The 23,050-nt window shown below is 37.6% G+C and overlaps 1 protein-coding gene across 3 annotated transcripts in view, besides 1 other annotated feature; it reads right to left on the bottom strand.

The window, feature by feature from the left end:
- Positions 1 to 23,050, bottom strand: part of ARID2 (AT-rich interaction domain 2) — a 178,332-nt gene that overhangs the window by 35,088 nt on the left and 120,194 nt on the right. For 2 of the 3 annotated variants that reach the window (NM_152641.4, NM_001347839.2), the window contains exons 15-16: positions 20,054 to 22,914; positions 12,001 to 12,149 (exon numbers count right to left, since the gene is read on the bottom strand). In NM_152641.4, coding sequence (NP_689854.2) covers positions 12,001 to 12,149; positions 20,054 to 22,914 — 3,010 coding nt within the window. Of the gene's footprint in view, positions 1 to 12,000; positions 12,150 to 18,712; positions 18,771 to 20,053; positions 22,915 to 23,050 lie in introns of those variants that run through there. The other variant, XM_047428489.1, reaches the window with a different exon arrangement.
- Positions 14,677 to 14,877: a silencer, noted in NCBI's record as "peak1713 fragment used in MPRA reporter construct". NCBI's record gives its function as "represses an SCP1 promoter by STARR-seq MPRAs in K562 erythroleukemia cells {active_cell/tissue: K562}" and the evidence as "EXISTENCE:reporter gene assay evidence [ECO:0000049][PMID:32103011]".

Genomic DNA, 23,050 nt, shown 5'->3' with positions numbered 1-23,050 from the left:
TGACAGATCCAATAGGCAGAAAATCAGTAAGGATATAGTTGAATTGAACAGCACCATCAATCAACTGGATCTAATTGATATTTACTGAATACTTCATCCAACAATATATTCTTCTCAAGCTCACATGGAACATCCACCAAGATAGACCACAATCTGGGACATAAAACACACCTTAGCAAATTTAAAAGAATAGAAATCATATGTATACTCTGAAACCACAATGGAATTAAATAGTAATTGATATGGTTTGGCTGTGTCCCCACCCATGCGGTTACGCCCGTGCTGCTGTTCTCCTGATAGTGAGTGAGTTCTCACGAGATCTGACGATTTTATAAGGGACTTTTCCCCTCTTTGCTTGGCACTTCTCTCTCTTGCTGCCATGTGAAGGACGTGTTTACTTCCCTTTCTGTCATGATTGTTGCTTTCCTGAGGCCTTCCCAGCCATGCAAAACTGTGAGTCAATTAAACCTTTATTCTTTATAAGTTACCCAGTCTCGGGTATGTCCTTAAAGCAGTGTGAGAACAGATTAATAGAGAAATCAATAACAAAAAGATAGCTAGAAAATACCAAAAACATTTGGAGTCTAAATAACACATTTTTGCAATATTTCGAACTAGAGGAAAATGAAAATACAACATAATCATAATTTCTGGATATAGTAAAAGTAGTACTTAGAGGGAAGGCTTTAGCATTGAACTTATATACTAAAAAAGAAGAAAGATCTAAAATAATAATGCAAGCTTCTACCTTAGGAAACTAGACAAAGAAGAGCACATTAAACCCAAAGCAGGCAGAAGAAAAAAAATAATAAAAGAGCAGAAATTAATGAAACTGAAAACAGGAAATCAACAGAAAGAAAAAAATTTAACAAAACCAAAAGCTGGTTCTTTGGGGGAAAAAAAATTCAATAAAATACATAAACCTGTAGCTAACCTAACCAAGAAAAAATAACAGAAGATACAAATCATTAATATCAGAAATGAAAAAGGGACCATTACTACCAATCCCATGGACATTAAAAGGATGCTAATAAAGAAACAGAAATATCTCTATGCTCACATATTTGATAACTTAGATGAAATCGGCCAATTCCCTGAAAGACACAATCTGCCAAAACTCACTCAAGGAGCAACAGATAATCTGAATAACATTGTAACTATTAAAGAAATTGAATCAATAATTAATAACCTTCAAAACAGAAAGTACCAGGACCACAGGTTTCTCTGCTGAATTCACAACAAATAATTAAAGGAAGGAATGATATAAATTCTCTACAATCCCTACTCCCTACCAGACAATAGAAGCAGAGGGAACACTTTCTAACTTATTCTATGAGGACAGCATAACCCTATTACCAAAATCAGACAAAGACATTACAAGAAAACTACATCCCAGAATCTTGCATGAATATAGAGGAGAACATCCTCAGGAAAAATATTAGCAAATTGTATCAAACAATGCATAAAAAAGAAATATATGCCATGACAAAGTAAAATTTATTACAGGGACACAAGGCTGGTTGAAGCAAAAATTGAAGTAATCCATCACATTCACAAGACAAAAAATAAAAATCATATGATCATAGCAATAGACGCAGAAAAGCATTTGACATAATCCATTATCTACTCATGCCAAAAGCTCTCAGCAAACAACCAAATTAAAAATGGGTTAAATATCTGAATAGACACCCACCAAAAAGATATACATATGGTAAATAAACAAACAAAAAGATGCTCAGCATCATATGTTTTTAGGGAACTAGAAATTAACAGATATACCAACACACACCTATCAGAATGGCTCATATCTAAAACACTGACAAAACTAAATGTTGGCAAGGATATGAAGCAACAAAATTCTCATTCACTGCTGGTAGGAATACAAAATCGTACAGACACTTTGGAAGACAGATTCACAGTGTCTTACAATGTTAAGCATAGTCTTTATCATATGATCCAGCAATTATAATCCTAGGTGTTTGCCCAAATGAGTTAGTTGAAAAACTACATCCACACAAACTTACACATAAATGTTTATAACACCTTAGTTCAAAATTGCCAGTAATTGGAAGCAATTATGACACTGTTCAATAGACGAATGGATAAGCAAACTATGTACATCTGTATAATAAAATATTATACAGAAATAAAAAGAAATGAGCTATCCAACAATAAGAAGACATGGAGAAAACTTATGTGCATATTACTAAGTGAAAGAAACCAGATTAAAAAGGATACTGCTGAATAATTCCAACTATATTACATTCTGGAAAAATGAAAACTATAGAAATAGTAAAAAAAATGAGTGGCTGCCAGGAACTGGGGGCGAGGGAGGGGGTGAGGAGGAATAAATAGGTAAAGCAAAATGGATTTTTAGTGTAGTGAAGGTACTCTGCATGTTACTGTAATGTTGGAGACATGACATTACGCATTTGTCAAAACCCACAGAACTGTAGAAAGGATGAATCTGAATGTAAACTATGAACTTTAGTTAATACTAGTGTATCAATATTGGCTCATCAATTATCACATGTGTACCACACTAATGCAAGGTGTCAATAATAGTGGAAACTGTGTGCAGGGAGGACGGAGATATGGGAACTCTATTCTGTCTGCTCGATTTTTCCATAAACCTAAAACTGCTCTAAAAAAACGTGGTTTTGGCCGGACACAGTGGCTCACGCCTGTAATCCCAGCACTTTGGGAGGCCGAGGAGGGTGGATCAGGAAGTCAGGAGATCGAGACCATCCTGGCTAGCACAGTGAAGCCCCGTTCTCTACTAAAAATACAAAAAAAGTTAGCAGGGCATGGTGGCGGGCGCCTGTAGTCCCAGCTACTCAGGAGGCTGAGGCAGGAGAATGGCGTGAACCCAGGAGGCGGAGCTTGCAGTGAGCCGAGATCGCGCCACTGCACTACAGCCTGGATGACAGAGCAAGAGTCTGTCTCAACAACAACAAAAAAAATGGTTTATTAGCTTTAAAAAAGATATGGATGAATATTATCACTATTGTGCAATTGTGCTGAAAACATTAGACTTGTTTGTTTGTTTTTGTTTTGTTTTGTTTTTGAGGTGGAATCTTGCTCTGTCACACAGGCTGGAATGCAATGGCATGATCTCAGCTCACTGCAACCTCCACCTCCCCGGTTCAAGCAATTCTCCTGCTTCAGCCTCCTTATTAGCTGGGATTACAGTCGCCCGCCACCACGCCTGGCTAATGTTCACATTTTTAGTAGAGACGGGGTTTCACCATATTGGCCAGGCTGTTCTCAAACTCCTGACCTCAAGTGATCCATCTGCCTCGGCCTCCCAAAGTGCTGAAATTACAAGCATGAGCCACGACACCTGGCCTAGACATTATAATTGGATAAGACAAAATATGAAGTATAAATATAGAAAACACCTATCAGTTGAAAAATATAATGGAAGTTGAGATCATTTATAACAACTAAATATAAGACTACCACCTAGCAATAAACTTAATAAAGTACAAAATTCATGCGAAGAAAAGTCAAGAAGCTCTATTGGAAAAAAAAAAGTAATAACATGGGCTGATACCTTTTCCAGTAAGGGAAATCTAAAAAAAAGTGCTCACTATCAAAAAATAAACAAAAAACTGTTCATTAAAAGCAATCGCGGCCGGGCACGGTGGCGCACGCCTGTAATCCCAGCACTTTGGGAGGCCGAGGCAGGCAGATCACGAGCTCAGGAGTTCGAGACCAGCCTGGCCAATATGGTGAAACCCTGTCCCTACTAAAAATACAAAAATTAGCTGGGCATGGTGGCACGTGCCTGTAATCCCAGCTACTCAGGCTGAGGCAGGCGAATCGCTTGAACCTGGGAGGCGAAGGTTACAGTGAGCCAACATCTTGCCAATGTACTCCAGCCTGGGTGACACAGCGAGACTCCATCTCAAAAAAAAAAACAAAAAGCAATTGCAACCCAAATCCCAACATGCCTTTCTTGGCAATCTCGAGAAATAAATCTGATTTATACATCACTCTAATTTCAAAACCCGGCACAGTGCCTAGTATAAAGTAGTTGCTCAAATAAATCATAAAAAACTGCGAAGAATCAGCAGGGGCAAACTGCCATGTCCAAAGTTAAAATACATTTAAAGTGATAGTGTAATAAGGACAGAGATCAAGGGGATAACAAGTGATCCAGAAATAGGCACAGCATTTATAGGATTAGTATATGACAAAGGTGGCAATTCAAATGTCTGAGGGAAAGATGATTGCCAATAAGTTAGCCATTTGGAAAATAATTAAGCTAGGCTCATACCTCATTTTATACATCAAGCTAAATTACAAATTAATCAAAAAGTAAAAATATTAATGTATTACAAAGCAAAAAATGTGCATTTTATGATATAAAAGTTGAAAAGGTCTTTCTAAGCACGACATGAAAACCATTAAGATTTAAATTTTATGTAGCAAAATATGGCTAAAGTCTCGAGACGTGGGGTGGACACATAATAAAGAGATGATATCCTTCTTTTTTTCCTCTTTGAGACAGAGTCTCGCTTTGTCACCCAGGCTGGAGTGCAGTGGCACAATCTCGGCTTGCTGCAACCTCTGCCTCCTGGGTTCAAGCGATTCTCGTGCCTCAGCCACCCAAGTAGCTGGGATTACAGGTACCCGCCACCATGCCTAGCTAATTTTTGTATTTTTAGTAGAGACAGGGTTTTGCCATGTTGGCCAGGCTGGTCTCGAACTCCTGACCTCAAGTGATCTGCCTGCCTTGGCCTCTCAAAGTGCTGGGATTACAGGTGTGAGCCACCACGCCTGGCCAAGAGTTGACATCCTTAATGTACAGAGAAGTATTGCAAATTTTTAGGAAGGGCAATAAAGAATGAGCAAATGACACGAGTAGATAATTCACAGAAGAAAATCATAAAGATATTTAACTCAATACTTGAAATAAAAATTAAAACAGGAGCTGGGGAATGGTAAGATGAAGAGGCAGAATACAAAAGATTTTTAGGGCAATAAAACTATTCTGTATACTGTAATGGTGGACACATGTTATTATATTAATAGTTGTCAAAACCCATAGAGTGGTCAGGTGCAGTGGCTCATGCCTGTAATCCCAACCCTTTGTGAGGCCAAGGTGGGAGAATTGCTTGAGACCAGGAGTTCAAGACCAGCTTAGGCAACATAGTAAGACCCCATCTGTACAGAAGTTTTTTTTTCTTTTTTTTTTTTTTGAGATGGAGTCTCGTTCTGTTGCCCTGGCTAGAGTGCAGTGGCGCGATCTGGGCTCACTGCAAGCTCCGCCTCCAGGGTTCATGCCATTTTCCTGCCTCAGCCTCCCGAGTAGCTGGGACTACAGGCGCCCGCCACCATGCCCGGCTAATTTTTTTGTATTTTTAGTAGAGACGGGGTTTCACTGTGCTAGCCAGGATGGTCTCGATCTCCTGACCTCACGATCAGCCCGCCTCGGCCTCCCAAAGTGCTGGGATTACAGGCATGAGCCACTGCGCCCGGCCAGCACAGAAAATTTTAAAATTAGCTTAGAAAAAAGTTAAAATTAGGTGGGTGTGGTGGTCACATCTGTAGTCCTAGCTACTCAGGAGGCTGAGGCGGGAGGGATCACTTGAGCTCAGGAAGTTGAGGTTACAGTGAACTGTGATCATCCCACTAAACTCTAGCATGGATGACAGAACAAGACCTTGTCTCAGAAAACAAACAAGTAACAACAGGCTGGGTGCAGTGGCTCATGCCTGTAATCCCAGCACTTTGGGAGGCCAAGGTGGGTGGATCAGGAGGTCAGGAGTTCAAGACCAGCCTTCCCAACATGGTGAAATGCCATCTCTACTAAAAATACAAAAATTAGCTGGGCATGGTGGCACGCACCTGTAGTCCCAGCTACTCAGGAAGATGAGCCAAGAGAATCGTTTGAACTTGGGAGGTGGAGGTTGCAGTGAGCCGAGATCACCCCACTGCACTCCAGCCTGGGTGATGAAGTAAGACTCCATCTCCAAACAACAACAACAACAACAACAACAACAACAACAACAAACTTCACAAAACAACCCAACAAAACAAAACCCCCAGAATGTACAATGTCAAGAGCAAATCTTAATGTAAACAATGGACTTTGGGTGATAATGATGTGTCAATGTAGGTTAACCAGTTATAACAAATGTACCATTCCTATAAAGATGTAATATTTGTGGGGCAGTGCTATATAGGAACACTCTGTATTTGCCATTCAATTTTGTTGTAAACCTAAAATTGCTCTCAAAATAGTCTATTTAAAAAGTTAAAATAACAAAAGAATAAAAATTGACAGTCTTTTTGAGGCTATCAGATCAGCAAAGAAATTTCCCCTCAGTTTTGAGTAGCCAGGTAGTGGGAAACAAGCTCATATTCTATTATTTGAATTACAAGTTAACATTTTTAGATGGTACTTCTACAAAAATAAAAACATGTAAATCCCCTGACTCAGCAATTCCCAATTTGGTATTTTATTCTACTGAAATACTTGTAGAAAATGTGCTATGGAAACGAAATTATTCACCACAGTTCTGTTCATATGTAATAGCAAATAACTAAAATCCTAAATACCCTTAATATGAGATATAGTTAACAGACTATAGTGCAGGATCATTGCATCTTATTTATGGAAAGAAATGTGTCCTCATAATTCAAGAGTAATCCTGTCAAAAAAAGGACGAGCAGTTCTATTTACCAATGCAGATAACAAAGACAGTGCAATAAAAGGGAATTATTGGTATTCAATACAAAGAATGAGTAAATCTATGTATTGACATAAAAAGTATATATATATAGTCATATTAATGAGTATTACATATATTATTGAAGCAAGCTCTAGATCAGTATATATAGTTTAAAATAAGAAACAAAGTATACATGTATACTTTTCATGTACAATATAGTATAGCTGTATATGAAAAAGGTTTGTAAAGACACATACCAAACTTACAACCATGGTTATCTTCTGATAACGCTATTTTTGGAATTTAAATTTTTTAAAAGCTAGAAATATAATTTTAAAATAAGAAAAACAATTATGAAAATATTGTGGAATCACTTTTGTTAAGAGTCTTGAGTAGCATCTGATGAAACTAGTTTGGATTGTCCCACTGGACAGTGCTGAAGCCCAAAATATCCACTGTGACTCTCATTTTTCTTAGAATAAACTACTCTTATAGTATGAGAAAAGAAAGTTACAGTGACAAATTGAAGAAAAAAGTCACTGACTTACCCTCATTTCCTTAAGACCAGATTACTGACACAGGGAAAAATACCAAAATATAAGATTTAAATGGAAACTAAAAAATCACATAAGTTCTAAATAAAAACATGGGGGTTCTTCTACAATTTGGGCACAGAGAAAGCCTTCCTAACTATAATCCAGATCCTGAAGCAATAATGAAAAACCTAATAAATTTGTTTACAGAAAAATTAATTGAAAGAAAAAAACCCTTCATCTAGGACAAAAACAAACAAAATAACAAAAAACAAAGGGTTACTTTGTTTTCTTTTACAAATGATTGTAAAAAGACAATCATTTGTCTGTTTACTTTAAAAGACAAATGATTAATTGAAAAAATGAGAAAAACCTTTTCAAGTTATACCACAGCAGACAACATTTTTTTTGGAGTATGACATAGGACAAAGAATAAATTCTTAACAATATTGAGAAATGGGATTTTTGGTGTGGGAGAAAGAAGGTACAGGTGTGAAAATGATAAAACGAAGTAAAAACCTTGTTGTACTTAATCTAAATTCCAAGAATCAGTATAAACACACAGACTATCTTGCCTATCAGAGAGCAGGAAAACTATCAAACACTTATATTAAGGTCACAACCAAAGGACCTGGGAAATCCACTTGAAGAGGCTTTCACTGACCGAAAATGGCACAATTTGTATACCAAGAAGGATACATAACCTCAATTGACTGAAATATCTCAAATATGTTTAAATTCCTGTTAGCTCACAGTAATACTACAAACAAAATAAACAAAAACCAAACCTCATGGTAACTTTTGCAGGGTGATAGTGAGCAACTCATTATTTTGAAAACTGGTAAATAAGGGAAATATCCAAGCATCTATCTTGCCTTTCCTGTAGGAACTATTCCTCAAAGAAGGCAAATGACTGATAAAAGGGGGTCTTTTATATTTTACAAACCTTAATGAAATAATGTTCTGAACAATGATCCTTAAAGGCTGTTTATATCACAAAAAGAGACAAGAAGATATTACATATCTCCTGATGGAAGTACACAATATCATTTCTGAAGTGGTCTTCATATAGTGAAACCAGAACTTGATCAAATATTTGGACCAAACTACCAATGTACAGAAAATACAAGGTCAGAGTAACATGCTAAACAGTATCAGGAAAATCCAGATTGTAATGCTCTATAGGACAAATTAACCTGTTTTTTTTTTTTCAACAAAAACTTGCAAAGAAAAAAAAATTAAGAGGGATGGAGGGGTAATCTAACAGATTAAAAGAGATTTAAGACTTATCAACCAGAGGCAATGTTTGAACCTTACATTCCAATTCAAACTCTAAACAAAAGGCCACTGGAGAAATGTAAACACTGACAGGATATAAGAAGAAATCATAATATTGAAGGGAATTAATTTTTTTCTGTAGGAGTATGGTGGTGGTGGTGGTATATAGTATTTATATCTAAAGAGTGAGGTCCCTAACTTTTAGAGATAAATGCTTACAGATCAAAAAACCAAGCATCAATATGTGATGATATAAGAGGGAGTGGGGCTTACTGAAAAGAATCTATATTATACATCTAAAAGGAGAATTATGGCTCATGCCTGTAATCCCAGCACTTTGGGAGGCTGAGGTGGGCAGATCACTTGAGTTCAGGAGTTCGAGAACAGCCTTGGCAACATGGCAAAACCCTGTCTGTATAAAAAAATGCAAAAATTAGCTTGGTGTGGCGGCATGCACCTGTAGTCTCAGTCACTTTGGAGGCTGAGGTGGGAGGATGGCTTGAGCTCACAAGACAGAGGTTGCAATGAGCCAAGATCAAGATAGCACCACTGCATAGAAGCCTGGGTGACATAGTGAGACTGTGTCTCAAAAAAAAAACAAAAAAAAAAGGGAAAGAAAAAGAAAAAGAAAAAAAAAGGAGAATTATAAATACAAAAAGACTACATAAAGTGTGGTGCCAATACAGAACTAAGAACAGGTTAAATGTATACTCAAAGTCACTTTTAAGTCCTTAAAAGGAAGAGAGCACATAGCTATTTCAACTTTAAATACAAAGCAGTTTACAATAATATATAGGTAAAGAAAATAATTTTAGCTTTAAATCTGATGGAAACAAAGAAAGTTTTCTGGTTTGTTTTTTTTTTAAAAAGAGACAGTGTCTTACTTTATAACCGAGGCTGGAGTGCAATGATGCAATCATAGCTCACTGTAGCCTTGAAGTCCTGGGCTCAAGAGATTCTCCAGTTCTCAGCATCCCGAGTAGCTGGCATTACAGGCTCAAGCCACCATGCCCAGCATAAAGTTCTTTACTAGTATTTTTGATATGATATTAAAGAAATCAGAACAGCCACTTAGTGGTCAATGGCTATCATATATATGTTCCTACTTGGAACTGGAACTAAATATGAATAAGAGCCATTTCTCTTTTCATGTCGTTATGCTTGTAGTATCCTAACTTCTCACAGTTTCCTGGACATACAAGGTCCTTTTACACTCCTGTGCTTGCTCTTAACATTCTGACAGGTTTATTTTAGCATGAAAAATTCCTACTCATTCTTTAAGACTCAACTAAAATGTAATGCTTGTAGTAAAACTCTCCAACCATCTCAAAGTTAAATTGTCCAATATGTTGCAAACAGCACTATGAAACTATCTTTTTTACAGTACTTACTTATACTGTAATTTATTTGTTTTTTGGTCTGTGTCCCTCAGGACTGGGAGTGATTTTTGTATTTCTATCTTCTGGCACATGCACCCTCGTAGAGGATGCTTAACAAATATTTGCAGACTAAAACTAAACTTATTAGCAATGCAGTAGTGAAAAGCTATGGATAAAAAAAAAATGGCATGCTCTAAGAAGCCCTGTTTAATCTGTCTTGTTTAGAAAAGACTAGCAAGAAAAAGGTAAATCATCAAATTATGTAACACTGATCTATTAGCAAGATGGGAAACTGTCAGACATCTAGGTTCATTAACTCTTCCGGCAACTTATCTTGAAGTAACCTAAACACTTCATCTAAAGCAGTTATGCTTAAACTTCTTTATTTTTATCTTTTTAGACATGAGGTCTCACCATGTTGCCCAAGCTAGACTCGAATTCCTAGGTTCAAGCGATCCTCCTGCCTCAGCCTTCCTGGGCAGCTGGGGCTACAGGAGTGCACCACTGCGACAAGCTTCGTAAACTTTTTGAAAAGTTAACAAACACCTTTAGCACACTACCCATTCCATCAACTACTATTTGCCATGAAAAAAACAAAAATCTCAAGACAAATGGAGAGAGTAAAATTGGCATGCAGTGAAGAAAGTTTCAAATTAACTTACAAACATACACCTTAAAAAGAAAGAGATGGTCAAATTAAATGAATGAAGGAAATAATCCTTCAATGAATGAAGGAAACAACCTAAAGGACTGATTTTTAAAGAATTTTTTTGACAAATAGATTTTATACTATGATCAAATACACATATATAGGTCACATATATATAACTGAAAACAATATTTACCCTTGCTAACATGGTGAACTATGATATATTTAATTTTTTCATTGAAAAGAAAAACAAACAAAAACCTACTAAAATGATCCACAGTCCCACTACTGGGTTGAGAGTTACAGTTTGATCATTGCTATCCTATAGATATTTTGCATACTATTAATAATCCCTAGGCTACACAGGTAGCCATAATCATATAAAAAATCTGTATATGAAGTTTACAATAAAGTATAATATCTATATCACAAAAATATGAATAGCAAAGATAGCTTGTAAAAGATATGGTAATTTCTGCTATTAATTATGAAGAGTGAAATGGAATCTTTGATATCTAAAAAATGAACAGTGTTATGTCTATTAAAACAAATGCTGGCAGGGCTTAGTAGCTTACGCTTGTAGTCCCAGCACTTTGGGAGGCCGAGGCCAGAGGGATCACTGGAGGTCAGGAGTTCCAGACTAGCCTGGCCAACGTGGTGAAAAAAAAAACAAAAATTAGCCAGGGATGGTGGCACATGCCTGTAATCCCAGCTACTCAAGAAGCTGAGGCAAAAGAATTGCTTGAACCTAGGAGGTGGAGGTTGCAGTGAGTGGAGATAGCGCCACTGCACTCCAGCCTGAACAACAGAGCGAGACTCTGTTTCCAAAAAAAAAAAAAAAAAAAAAGACAAATGCCTTAGTCCTAGACCTCTAAAAAAATGACTGAAGGCAAAAGGTCTTACCTAAGTACTGTCAAAGGAATTAAGATTTTTATTTTAACCAACATTCTTTTCAAGTTTTCCTTCAAGTCTAAGAAAGGTTTATTTCAAAAGTTCATCTTAATTAAATTGTAAGATGGTATGGCTTTAAAAATAATTTTCATAGGTATCCATCCCAAACTCAAATTCAAGACAAGTCATTCTCTTTCTAGCACATTATTACTTCTAAGTTTCTACTATATGGAAATACTATAGCTGCCACTAAGTTCAAGCCACTTAAAAACGACAAAAACAACAAAAAAAAGCTTTTAACAGCCAAATATATAATTAAATTCTTAATTGATTTTCTTTACTGAAAACAAATATTGAACCGTATTCTCTACAACGTACCATTAAGCAATGAAGTTCTTTCCATCACTTATATATAAATTTCTTAGTTTAGGTCCACATAATGGATCATAAATATAACTCTTGTAGTTTCGCTAAAGTTAGTGGTTCTAAAGGAAAATTTTCATGCAACTATAGATGACAGAAACTTAAATATAAAAGCATTCCAAAACAAAGAATACTTTTATATATCAAATAAAATTGCCATTTACTTTTTACAAGACTGCCACAGACACATGAAGTTCTGTCCAGGTTTTCTCATTGGATCTCCAGGCTGACTGGATCCACTGAATGGAGAAGGCTGAGAACTGTTAGGCTGGCCCTGCACTTGTACAGCTGGTGAAGGTGGCATAGGAGTGTTCTGTGAAAAAGAACAAATGCAGAGTTTGTGACATGACACTGAAAAAATTCATATTTTATAGTATAGTCTTATAAATTTGATTATGTTGTTATACATTTCTACCATAAAATTTACATTTTATAATTTTAAGCTTATGATTACCTTTAAAATCTTTAAAAATTATTTTTATAGAAATATTTAGAAAGTTTATTTTATTTAATATAAAACCACGAAGGTAATACCACATTGTTATTACCACTATAAAATATATATTATTTAAAATAAAGATTTTTAGGATGAAACAATACAATTGTAGATTTAAATGAGAAATAAATATACTATAAATGTACCCATTGGATTTACTTATGTGAATTCTTCACAAGAACAGATCAACTGCAAGTTACTACTTTTTTGTATGTTTACTTTTAGATTTTCTAAAGAATATAATGTGAAACAATATGGTAAAAAGCAATGAAAATTTTAGATAGCAATAATGATGTAACCATATGTATAAAATATGATATTAACTAATTTGCAGTAAGCTGCTTAACAATTTTAGATTTTGAAGTTGCTCAATTATGTATTTTTGTTATTTTTAGAGACAGGGTCGGTCTTGTTCTGTTGCCTGGGCAGGTTACAGAGGCATAATCATAGCTCACTATAATCTCAAATTACTGGCCTCAAGCCATCCTCCCCCTTTGGCCTCCCAAAGTGCTGGCATTACAGGTATGAGCTGCCACATCCAGCCCCCAGTCTAATTATATCTTTTGTTATTTATGTAAGAATTCTAGGCTGGGCACGGTGGTTCATGCCTGTAATCCTAGCACTTTGGGAGGCCCAGGGGGGTGGATCACCTGAGGTCAGGAGTTCGAGACCAACCTGGCCAACATGGCGAAACCCCATCTCTGCTAAAAACAAAAATTAGCCAGGCGTGGTGGCAGGCGCCTGTAATCCCAGCTACTTGGGAGGCTGAGGCAGGAGAATCACTTGAACCCGGGAGGCAGAGGTTGCAGTGAGCTGAGATCGCTCCACTTCACTCCAACCTGGGTGAAAGAGGAGACTCTGTCTCAAAAGAAAAAATAATAATTCTAATTGTAGGCATAAAGTCTTTTAAATATATCCTATAATTTTTTTCTTTTAGATCCCATCCCTTTCTCTTGGAAAAAACACTAATAATCAAAATGTACCTTAAATCAAATTTAGGCAATATATTTTCTTGAAATACCACAAAGGGAAAAATTAATGTTAAATTTCTTATAGAAATGGTAGTACATTATTTTTGAAGAACTGCTTAAAGGCAGTAAATTAAAACTCTGGGAAAACATTGAATATACTTGTTCATTTATAAGGTAATGCAGTCGTGCATCACTTAATGACAGGAATATGTTTGAGAAATGGGTCACAGAACATTTCATTGTTCTGTGAATGCCATACGGTGTACTTCCACAAACCTAGATGATATAGCCTACTACATACCTAGGCTATATGGAATAGCCTATTGCTCCTAGGCTAAAAATCTGTATAGCATGTTACTGTACCGAATACTATAGGCAACCGTAACACAATGGTTAAGTATTTGTGTATCAAAACATAGAAAAGGTACAGTGAAAACAATATTATGATCTTATGAGACTATTGTTGTATTATGTGGTCCATCCTTGACAGAAATGTCCTTAAGTAGCACATGACTGTACTGGCAATAGGTGGGAAAGCAGTAAGCTAAAATTGCTGAGAACTTAGATTAAAAGCCACAGTAATTTTCTTTAGAAAAAAAGATAAATCACAAACATACAAGGCTACTATGACATACAAATGAAAGAAGGAAGAGAATAACATGTTGAAAGACAAAGTTGTCAGAAATGGGAAGTCAAGAACTTTTGAGTTCTAAGCTCTGAGGGAAAAATCTACTTCAAGACTGACATTTCTATAATAGGTTCCCACTCTTAAGATTTTACAATAAGAAAACATACACATGCACCAAAAACATTTTAGGGCCGTAGAGATATCACAAATAGGATGAGGATTTTCCAGCTTGACAGATCAGGACTCACACTTTCAATCTGATTTTTACTAGCCATGTGATCTTGGGCTACCGACTTAACCTCTCTGATCCTCAGTTTTCTCATCTGTAAAGTGTAAGTAATAAAAACTAACTTATGAGATGATGGGAAGACTAGAGAAACTATAAATGAGAAGCCTAGCTCAAGAGTCTCAATAAATGGCAATAATAGGAAACCATATTTCAGAGGAAAGATGATCGGTTTAGTTTGGGAATAATGACAGATGAACGAACTAAAAATGTCTATCAATAGAAGTTAATGTTGGAAAAATAAATCTGAAAACCATTCACCTGCAAATTCTAAAAGCCATAGAACTCTGATGGTGAGAAAGTGGCATGGGAGGAGGGGTTAAAGAGCAAGGAAAGTATAAAAGGAAAGTTTCTTTCTTTCTTTCTTTTTTTTAGATAGGGTTTTGCTCTGTCACCCAGGCTGGAGTGCAATGGCGTGATCACAGTTCACTGCAGCCTTGAACTCCTGGGCTCATGCAATCTTCCCACCTCAGCCTCCTGAGTAGCTGTATCTTCTATGGTTGAGATAAACAGGATGGTGAATAAACCAGACACCATGACACCTAAAACCATACTGAAGAAACTGGGAAAGAGTATTCTAAAGAAGAGGTGAGAAGGAAAGACACTTTCAAAACCTTGTAAGGAACAAGAATTGTATTTACTCTGAATGTGATATAAGAGATACCTCTAGCTAGGCCAGGCACGGTGGCTCATGCCTATAATCCCAGCACTTTGGGAGGCCAAGGCAGAAGGATCACTTGAGCCCAGGAGTTTGAGATCAGCCTGGGCAACATGGCAAAACCTGGTCTCTACAGAAAATACAAAAATCAGACAGGTGTGGTAGTGTGCACCTGTAGTGCCAGCCACTCGGGAGGCTGAAGAAGGAGGATTGCTTAAGCCCAAGAGGCAGAGGTTGCAGTGAGCCAAGAGTGTGCCACTGCACTCCAGCCTAGGCAACAGAGCGAGGCTCTGTATTAAAAAAAAGAGAGAGAGAGAGGGAGAGAGAGAGAGATGCATTTAGCTAAATGTATAAGTCTTCAGAGAAGAGAATTAAGACAGTAATAGAAATCACTGGAAAAGAGATTTTTGTGAATGTGGACAATTCACTTCAACTCTTAAAAGTAGGAGTTTTGGCCAAGATATAATATCAGAGACCCTTCAGCTCTAACATTTCCTCATTTTCTTAAATTACCAAGTTTTTTCCTCTTATTAAGTATAAATTTAGATCATCAATACATGCCAACACTACTTTATAAGAACACATTAAAATATAAACAAAAAAGTTATGTAATACTTTTCTTAGTTTTATAATGTGCTATTGGTCTACAAATCTGAGTGGCAGTACTCTTAGAAAAACAAAAGTGATATTCTTGTGGCTCTTGCTAAACTGTTCTTTTATGGCTACAACTAAATGCTGCCCCCGCCTGAGGCTACCAATCTATTTTCTGATGGGTTGAGTAACTTTCTCAAGCTCTTTACCAGTAAGATACCAATATTCCATGTTACACAGTACCATTATTAGGAATGATTTACACTCTGAATTGAGGCGAGGCATATGTTAAATATCTTAAATATGTATATCCTTAAACTATTTTTATGTATAAGAATTTGGCATGTTATCAGATTATGGGATTAACAGATAACTAACAGATTATGTTCAACATGTATTTTGTATGATCCTGAAAAAAAACCAAGTCTTATGTTAAGTTTTTGTATCTAAGTTTCTTTCATTTTATAAATTCTTTTTTATTTTTAGTATGCCATTTAGCAAATATGTTTCCAACAGATACCAATTCATGAACAGTGGAACAGGGCAGGGCTTCTGGAAATAGTATTCTATAAATTGTGCTTCAACTTGCAAGTATTACATTTGAAATAAGCAGTTACCAATAAAGAAATGTGCCTTGAAGTAGGTACAGTTTATTTTATATTTATATAAACTACCCAGCTAAATACTAAATATAAAAATCAATGGGTATATCATTTACTTTCACATAGATTCTTTTTACTTGTTGCTATTTTTTTCTGTAATAAAATTAATATAGCTGATTAATGGAGGTTGGAAGAAACAAAACTGAGAAGAAAAAAAATGAATTACAATGGCATTAGAAAGGATTACTTGTTGCTCCTTCTTGGCAAGGAGACTTCCCTGTGCTCTTTCCAGCCCTGGGCATTCTGCAAGTCTGGAAATCCCTTATCAGGGTGCAAGTACTTCCTTAACATCCCTAGATCCCTTGAAATTGTAGAATAACAAGGTTTCTCCAAAAAAAATCACAATTAAAATCCTCTATTTTGTCTACTCCTTTAAGCTACCAATTCAAATAGTGAATAAAATGGTATTAAACCAAGGTCTAACATGCAACTTTAAAGAGTATATAAAGAAATTTAGTCAGGCATGGTGGCTTACGCCTGTAATCCCAGCACTTTGGGAGGCCGAGGTGGGCGGATCACGAGGTCAGGAGCTTGAGACCAGCCTGACCAACATGGTGAAACCCAGTCTCTATTAAAAATACAAAAATCAGCCAGGCATGGTGGCCTGTAATTCCAGTTACTCAGGAGGCTGAGGTGGAAGAATCGCTTGAACCCGGGAGGTAGAGGTTGCAGTGAGCTGACATCATGCCACCGCACTCCAGCCTACGCAACAGAGCGAGACTGTGTCTCAAAAAAAAAAAAAAAAAAAAAAAAAGAAAAGAAGAAAGAAAAAGAGTACATAAAGAAATTTAAGCCAGGTCTGTTGGCTCACACCTATAATCTCAGCACTTTGGGAGGCCAAGGCGCGGGGATCACTCAAGTCTGCTAGGAGTTTAAGACCAGCCTGGGCAACATAGGGAGATCCCAACTCTACAAAAATAAAACATAAAACAAATTAGCTGGGCATGGCAGTACATGCCTGTGCTCCCAGCTACAGTCTTGGGAGGCTGAGGTGGAAGGATTACTTGAGCCAAGGAGGTCGAGGCTGCAGTGAGCTGTGATTGCACTACTGCACTCTAGCCTGGTCAACAGAGTAAGCCCCTGTCTTCCCCACCCAAAAAAGAAAGAAATTAAAAGGATGGGGGCAATAATGGTTATGGCTTTCTGTTAATTAGCATGCTTTTCAGAAGGCCCAACAACCTTCTCTTCAAAAGAAACTTATAACGCCATCTTGAACAGTTAATTTTTTTGTCTGTTAAAAATATTTAGCCCCAATAGGTACTTCATCATCTATAAAAAGATAAAGCATACCTTCCCCATTACTAACTGCCCATATATGTAGCAGGCACTGGGCTAAGTGCTATATATAAGAATGCTGTTTTTGTTATTCTCATTCTCATAGACATCATGTACGCTACATCTCTTTTTCCTTGCAAAGTTTTAAATTTCTATAAGACAACCAAATATCAGTTTTAGAAATAAAGAATGTACCTATTTTAAATAAACTACATCCTTTGTGAGAATGTAAGAAAGTTTAATACAGATTTTTCAGATTAGGAACAAAATGTATTGATTTCTTGGCCTGAATTAACTACATATATGTCCAATGTGCTAAGTAAAGCATTTTAGCATTAATGTCCTAAAATTATCATTTAGTAGAACATCTCATAACACCACAGCTCAAATAACCAATGAGTTTTAGCAATAATGTCCTAAAATGATCATTTAATAGAACATCCTCTAACACAACAGCTCAAATAATCAATATGTTAGATTAAAAAAAGGCTCTCTAGAGCTTTATAGAGAAATCTTCTAGAACAGTGGAAAGAAGAAAGGTTAATGGGTTAAGAGCATGAGTTTTGGTTTCAGACAAACCCAGGTTTCTGTCCTGGTACCACCTCATATTAGTTGGTAACCTTGGGCAAGTTACTAGCCATCTTGAGTCCTCATCTTTATAATAAATTTTACCTAATAAGGTTGTGTGAGGATTAAATGAGAAACTGCTTTAGTATAAAGTCCCTATGACATGTCCTCGTCTTAGCTAGTATTATTGTTCATTCTTTGTAATTGTGATATTACTGACTACAACCACATTGGAAGATTAAGGGTACAAAAAATGAGTGTTGGTGAAACAATTCCATAATGATGGAGATGGAGTTTTTCTCTAATTTGGCTTGGTCTGTTATAACTATTTAGGATTGTAAAGGTCTCTAAGAGGAGTAACAGGCACATAATCAAGGTGAAGTGGGAAATTATTAAATATAAGAGAAAAAACCTAACTATGGAATATCTACTATATACTCCACATTGCACTAATTAAAAAATTGTGTTTAAGTGGAAAGCTCAACATGTGGAAGCTTGAATAAAAATGATACAGTATTTTCCATCAATAACTCAGGATTAATTATTGCCATGTATATAACATCCCTCAAAGCAGAAGTCTCCAATCTTTTTGGCACCAGGGACCGGTTTCATGGAGGACAATTTTTCCACAGACCAGGGAGTGAGGAGATGGTTTTGGGGTGATACAAGCGCATTACATTTATTAAGCACTTTATTTCTATTATTACACTGTAATATATAATGAAATAATTATACAACTTGCCATAATGTAGAATCATTGGGGGCTCTGAGCTTGTTTTCCTGCAACTTGACAGTCCCATCTGGGGAATGGGAGACAGTGACCGATCATCAGGCGTTAGATTCTCCTAAGGAGCGTGCAACCTAGATCCTTCGCATGCACAGTTCACGATAGGGCTTGTGGTCCTACGAGAATCTAATGCTGCCACTGATCTGACAGGAGACAGAGCTCAGGATATAACGTGAGTGATGGGAAGCGGCTGTAAGTAAATACAGATGAAGCTTCACTCGCTCACCTGCCGCTCACCTCCGGCTGTGTGGCCCAGTTCCTAAAGGGCCACGGACTGGTACCTGTCAGTTATTCTACTAGTTCTGAAGCAAGGGGCTCTTCCCTTTGTTCTTGTACTTTCCATTTGGCTATTGCCCACACCTAGATTTGGCACTAATGCCAACAATAGCCATATATCTGCTGTCATCACCGTAACCATACAGAAGCCCAAGCCAGAACTGTGTCAGCAGAGTTGGCAGTAGTCATAGAAGGTTCTGGCTATGTAGGAATTAGGAAGAACAGAGTGAAAGAAAAGTGATCCAGGAAACAGGTGGTGACGACTGTTAAGAGAATCCATGATTTCAGTGGAAAGAGCATATAAGATTGTCCTTAAAATCCTCATAGCCTGATTGGACCCTCAACTTGGTAGTGCTGATTTTAGAAAATACTTGTTTTTACTAAGGCATGCAGAGATGGAATCTTAGGCATTAAAAAGGGAATAGCAGGAATAGGACAGTAAAGCAAAGGAGTAAGAAACAGAAAAGAATATCAGAATATCTGAAACAAATTGAAATTACAATAAATAATACTTTTTAACACTAAAGGAGACTAATGCAATACATAAATACAAAAAGAATACGACTGATAAAGTTATTACAAGATTCATCCTTATTACAACAGTACTGTTAAAGAGGCAACAAAAACACACTCAGGTCAAAATCAAATACAGAAATCCCCATTTAGAGTACTCTTAGGACCCCCATTCCCCCCAACACTTGTGCAGTAAACTCAAAAAGGAGATTAAGATACATTTTTTAAATTCTCCAAAAGATGTCAGATTAGCAACTGCTTCTCTACCTTGGGCCTAGAAAATTATTAATTTGGATCTATAACAAAATTGAAAGATTCTTTAAATCATGTGCTAAAATTGAAAACTAATATTACAAAACCAGAGAAAAAGAAAAGGACAGGTTGGATACAAGTGAGCTGATACAGTAACTTTTCAAGATGAGACATGGAAAACAGTGCATTTCCCTCTAAAATTGTATTTACAGATCAGAAATTTCATAAGAGAAATGTGATCATGGAATAACTTACCTGCGGGACCACATTCTGTACATATGTTGGTGGATGCTGTTGCTTTTGCTGAACAGCACTTTCTATTGCTACTTTAGCTACAGTGCTTGGATCTGCTCCTGCTGGCACAGCAACCATTGTTGCGCTGCAGCCAGCATTGTTGGGGTCACTGATTGTAACAATTCTAACTCCTACTTTATTTGGAATTCCTGCGACTGTTTCCCTATCAGTATCCTCTGCTGGCCTCTTTACAGTTTTGCATTCTGCTGTGCCATTTGTAGACCGAACGTCAGATGATAGGGCAGGAGAATGGGATACTTTTGATCCTGAGTCGGGAACTGCTATGATTTGATGTCCCTGTATAACAGAGGTTGTAGAATGTGGTGAGACAACTACACTTGGGCGTTGCTGAGGCACATCTGAATTCAAACTTGAAGCTAGAGGTCCATTAAGCAAATCAGTACCACTAAATTGCTGTGTTGCCGCATTTGAAGCCTCCTGTATACTGCTCACAGATGAACCACCCAAAGTTAATACAGGTCCATTAGAAATTCTTTCTAGTTGATCACCTTTGGCAGTATCTTGCTGAGTGATATCTAAAGTCCCTTGTGGTTCCATTGGAGATATCTCACCATTTCCTACATGATTGGAAGTTTTATGATTTGGAATGTTTTTGCTTAAATGAGAACCATCTCCTTTATCAAAATCACAGATTCCATTAACTAGCGGTTTTCTCAAATCACTTTTGATATCTTGCATGTCTATTTGTTCTGAGTTCTGTTTCCCAGATGCTCCATTCTCACCTAATTCCAATGATGGCCCATTACTGATTAGTGAGCACTGATTAGTCTCACTTTGAATTTTCCCTGAGTTTGAAGGAGGTAGACTTGAGTCACTGTACTTTCTCCCATTTAAAAGACTTCCCACATGCATTTCATTTTCCTTTGTATCCCCATTGCTGGTGTTTGTGGCTCCTCGTCGGCAGGACGGGTTCTCCATGACTTCAATTTTACGTTCATGAACATGTAAACCTGTTGCTTCCTTTGCTTCCTCCTCCTTTTGGCAAATTATTTTATCACCTTTGAATGGGGGAGTAGCAGTAGTACATGATGATTGTCCAGCAGGAGATGCTTGAGTGGCTGGAAGCGTTTGTACTGGAAGTCCAACTCCTGTCTGCGTTCCGCTCATGGTAATTCCTGCTGGAGCAATGAGCTGAGTTGCATTTCCCTGACTCACAGTTGCAGGTGCAAAACTCGTATTTGGCACAACTGTTATGGTTACCTGGTTGCCAGAAGTCCCTTGGAAAATGGTTGCTGGGCTATTTGAGATCAGTGGACCTGGCAATATTTGTAAGTTCGAAATGGGCACAGTTTGTACTCCCCCTGAGGGTGGCATTGCACTTGGGACCAACTGAACATTTTGCTGCCCAACCAATAGCTGCTGAGCTGGAGTTTGCCCCTGCACTCCAAAACCTGCGGCTTGGTTACTGGCCACCTGATAGACCACCTGAGGGCTAGGAGCTCTTGCATTATTAGGGGGAGGAATCTGTGGAGCTGGGAGAATAAGCTTACCACCTGGTGTTGAAGGACCACGTTTCGGAAGCAGAAGCTGTTTAATCAGACTCGACTCACCAGAGGCAGGCTGACCAACTCCTGCATTCGACTGTTGAGGTTGAACTTGCATCTGTACTTGTTGGGGCTGCTGAACTTGTACTTGTACCTGCTGTGGTGGGGGTGCTGGTGAATGTTGCTGCTGTTGCTGCCTTTTCACAGATAACATTTGACTGACAGTAGGAGGTGGTCCCTGTGATTGAGGGGTAGAGGACGACGACATGGCAGTAGGGACTTGGTTATTAGTAGCTGGGACAGGTGATGGTGAAGAAGATGGAGTTATGTTAGGTTGTCCAGTTAGCTGAACTGTCTGACCAGCTGGAAGAGCTGCTGGATTAGCAAGAACAATTTGGTGAATGGCTGGTGCATAAGTTTGACCTTGTTGAGCTGGCTGGCTTACAATCACTACGCTTTGTTGGGTTGGCTGCTGTGGTTGTTGAATAGGCTGCTGTACCACTGTAGATGAAACTTGCTGAGAAGGGAGAGGTTTTGGTGCAATGTTCTGAAACCCTACCCTTGAGGCTTGTGGACTTGGGACACCAGCAATAGTAACCATTTGTCCTGTAGCTACCTGAAAATTCTGTACTGAAGTTGCTGAGACAATATTGGATGCAGAAGTTGTTACATACTGTGGGGGTGCTATGATAACAGTATCTTGTGACTGGCTACCAGCTGATGTCTGTTGAGATGAAGTTTGCACAGGTTGGGGTGATGTGGTGATTAACTGTTGACCCTGTGAAACTGTAGAAGTACATGCTGGTATGTTCTGTACTCTGCCAAACATATGACTCTGTGGGACAGCTTGTTGAATTACTGTAACAGGAGTGCCTGAAGGGATCTGTCCTGGTACCACTGTGTGTAATGGAGACTGCTGTGGAATTACAGATGGATGGTGAAGCAATGTCTGAGAATTCACAACTGTAACAGGTTGTGGCCCTGTACTATGATTCTGAACAACAGAACTCTGTGGAGGTCCTCCTCCAACAGCAATACTAACAGGAACTCCTGTCTGGGGTATGGAATTCTGGATAACTGTAGCCTTAACAACTTCACAAGGAATTGGAGCTTTACTTTGAATGACAGTCACTGGAGCATTTTGTTGCTGGTGGGTATGAGGTGAAGGATTTTGTGGAATTCTTGAAACAGTTTGTGCCACAGTATGAACACCTTGTACAGGAAAAGACATTTGTGTTGCAGTCAGATTTGAAGATTGGTTGGCAACAGGAGTCCTCTGAAAATGGTTTCCTATGGTTTGTGATCCATGAGGGATTCCTGAAAATATGAAGAAAACGTCAAAATTCCAAATGAAATGACTGAAAATCCCAAGTAGGAATTATTTTACTTAAGAGAAAATAGTTTTAAGAAATTAACATCTAACAATTTTGAATCATATGAATATGGTAATAGA

This window comes from Homo sapiens, chromosome 12 (assembly GCF_000001405.40).
Source record: "Homo sapiens chromosome 12, GRCh38.p14 Primary Assembly".
NCBI lineage: Eukaryota > Metazoa > Chordata > Mammalia > Primates > Hominidae > Homo > Homo sapiens.
Note: the sequence above shows the minus strand (reverse complement) of the source record. Positions and strands in the feature narration are given on the sequence as shown.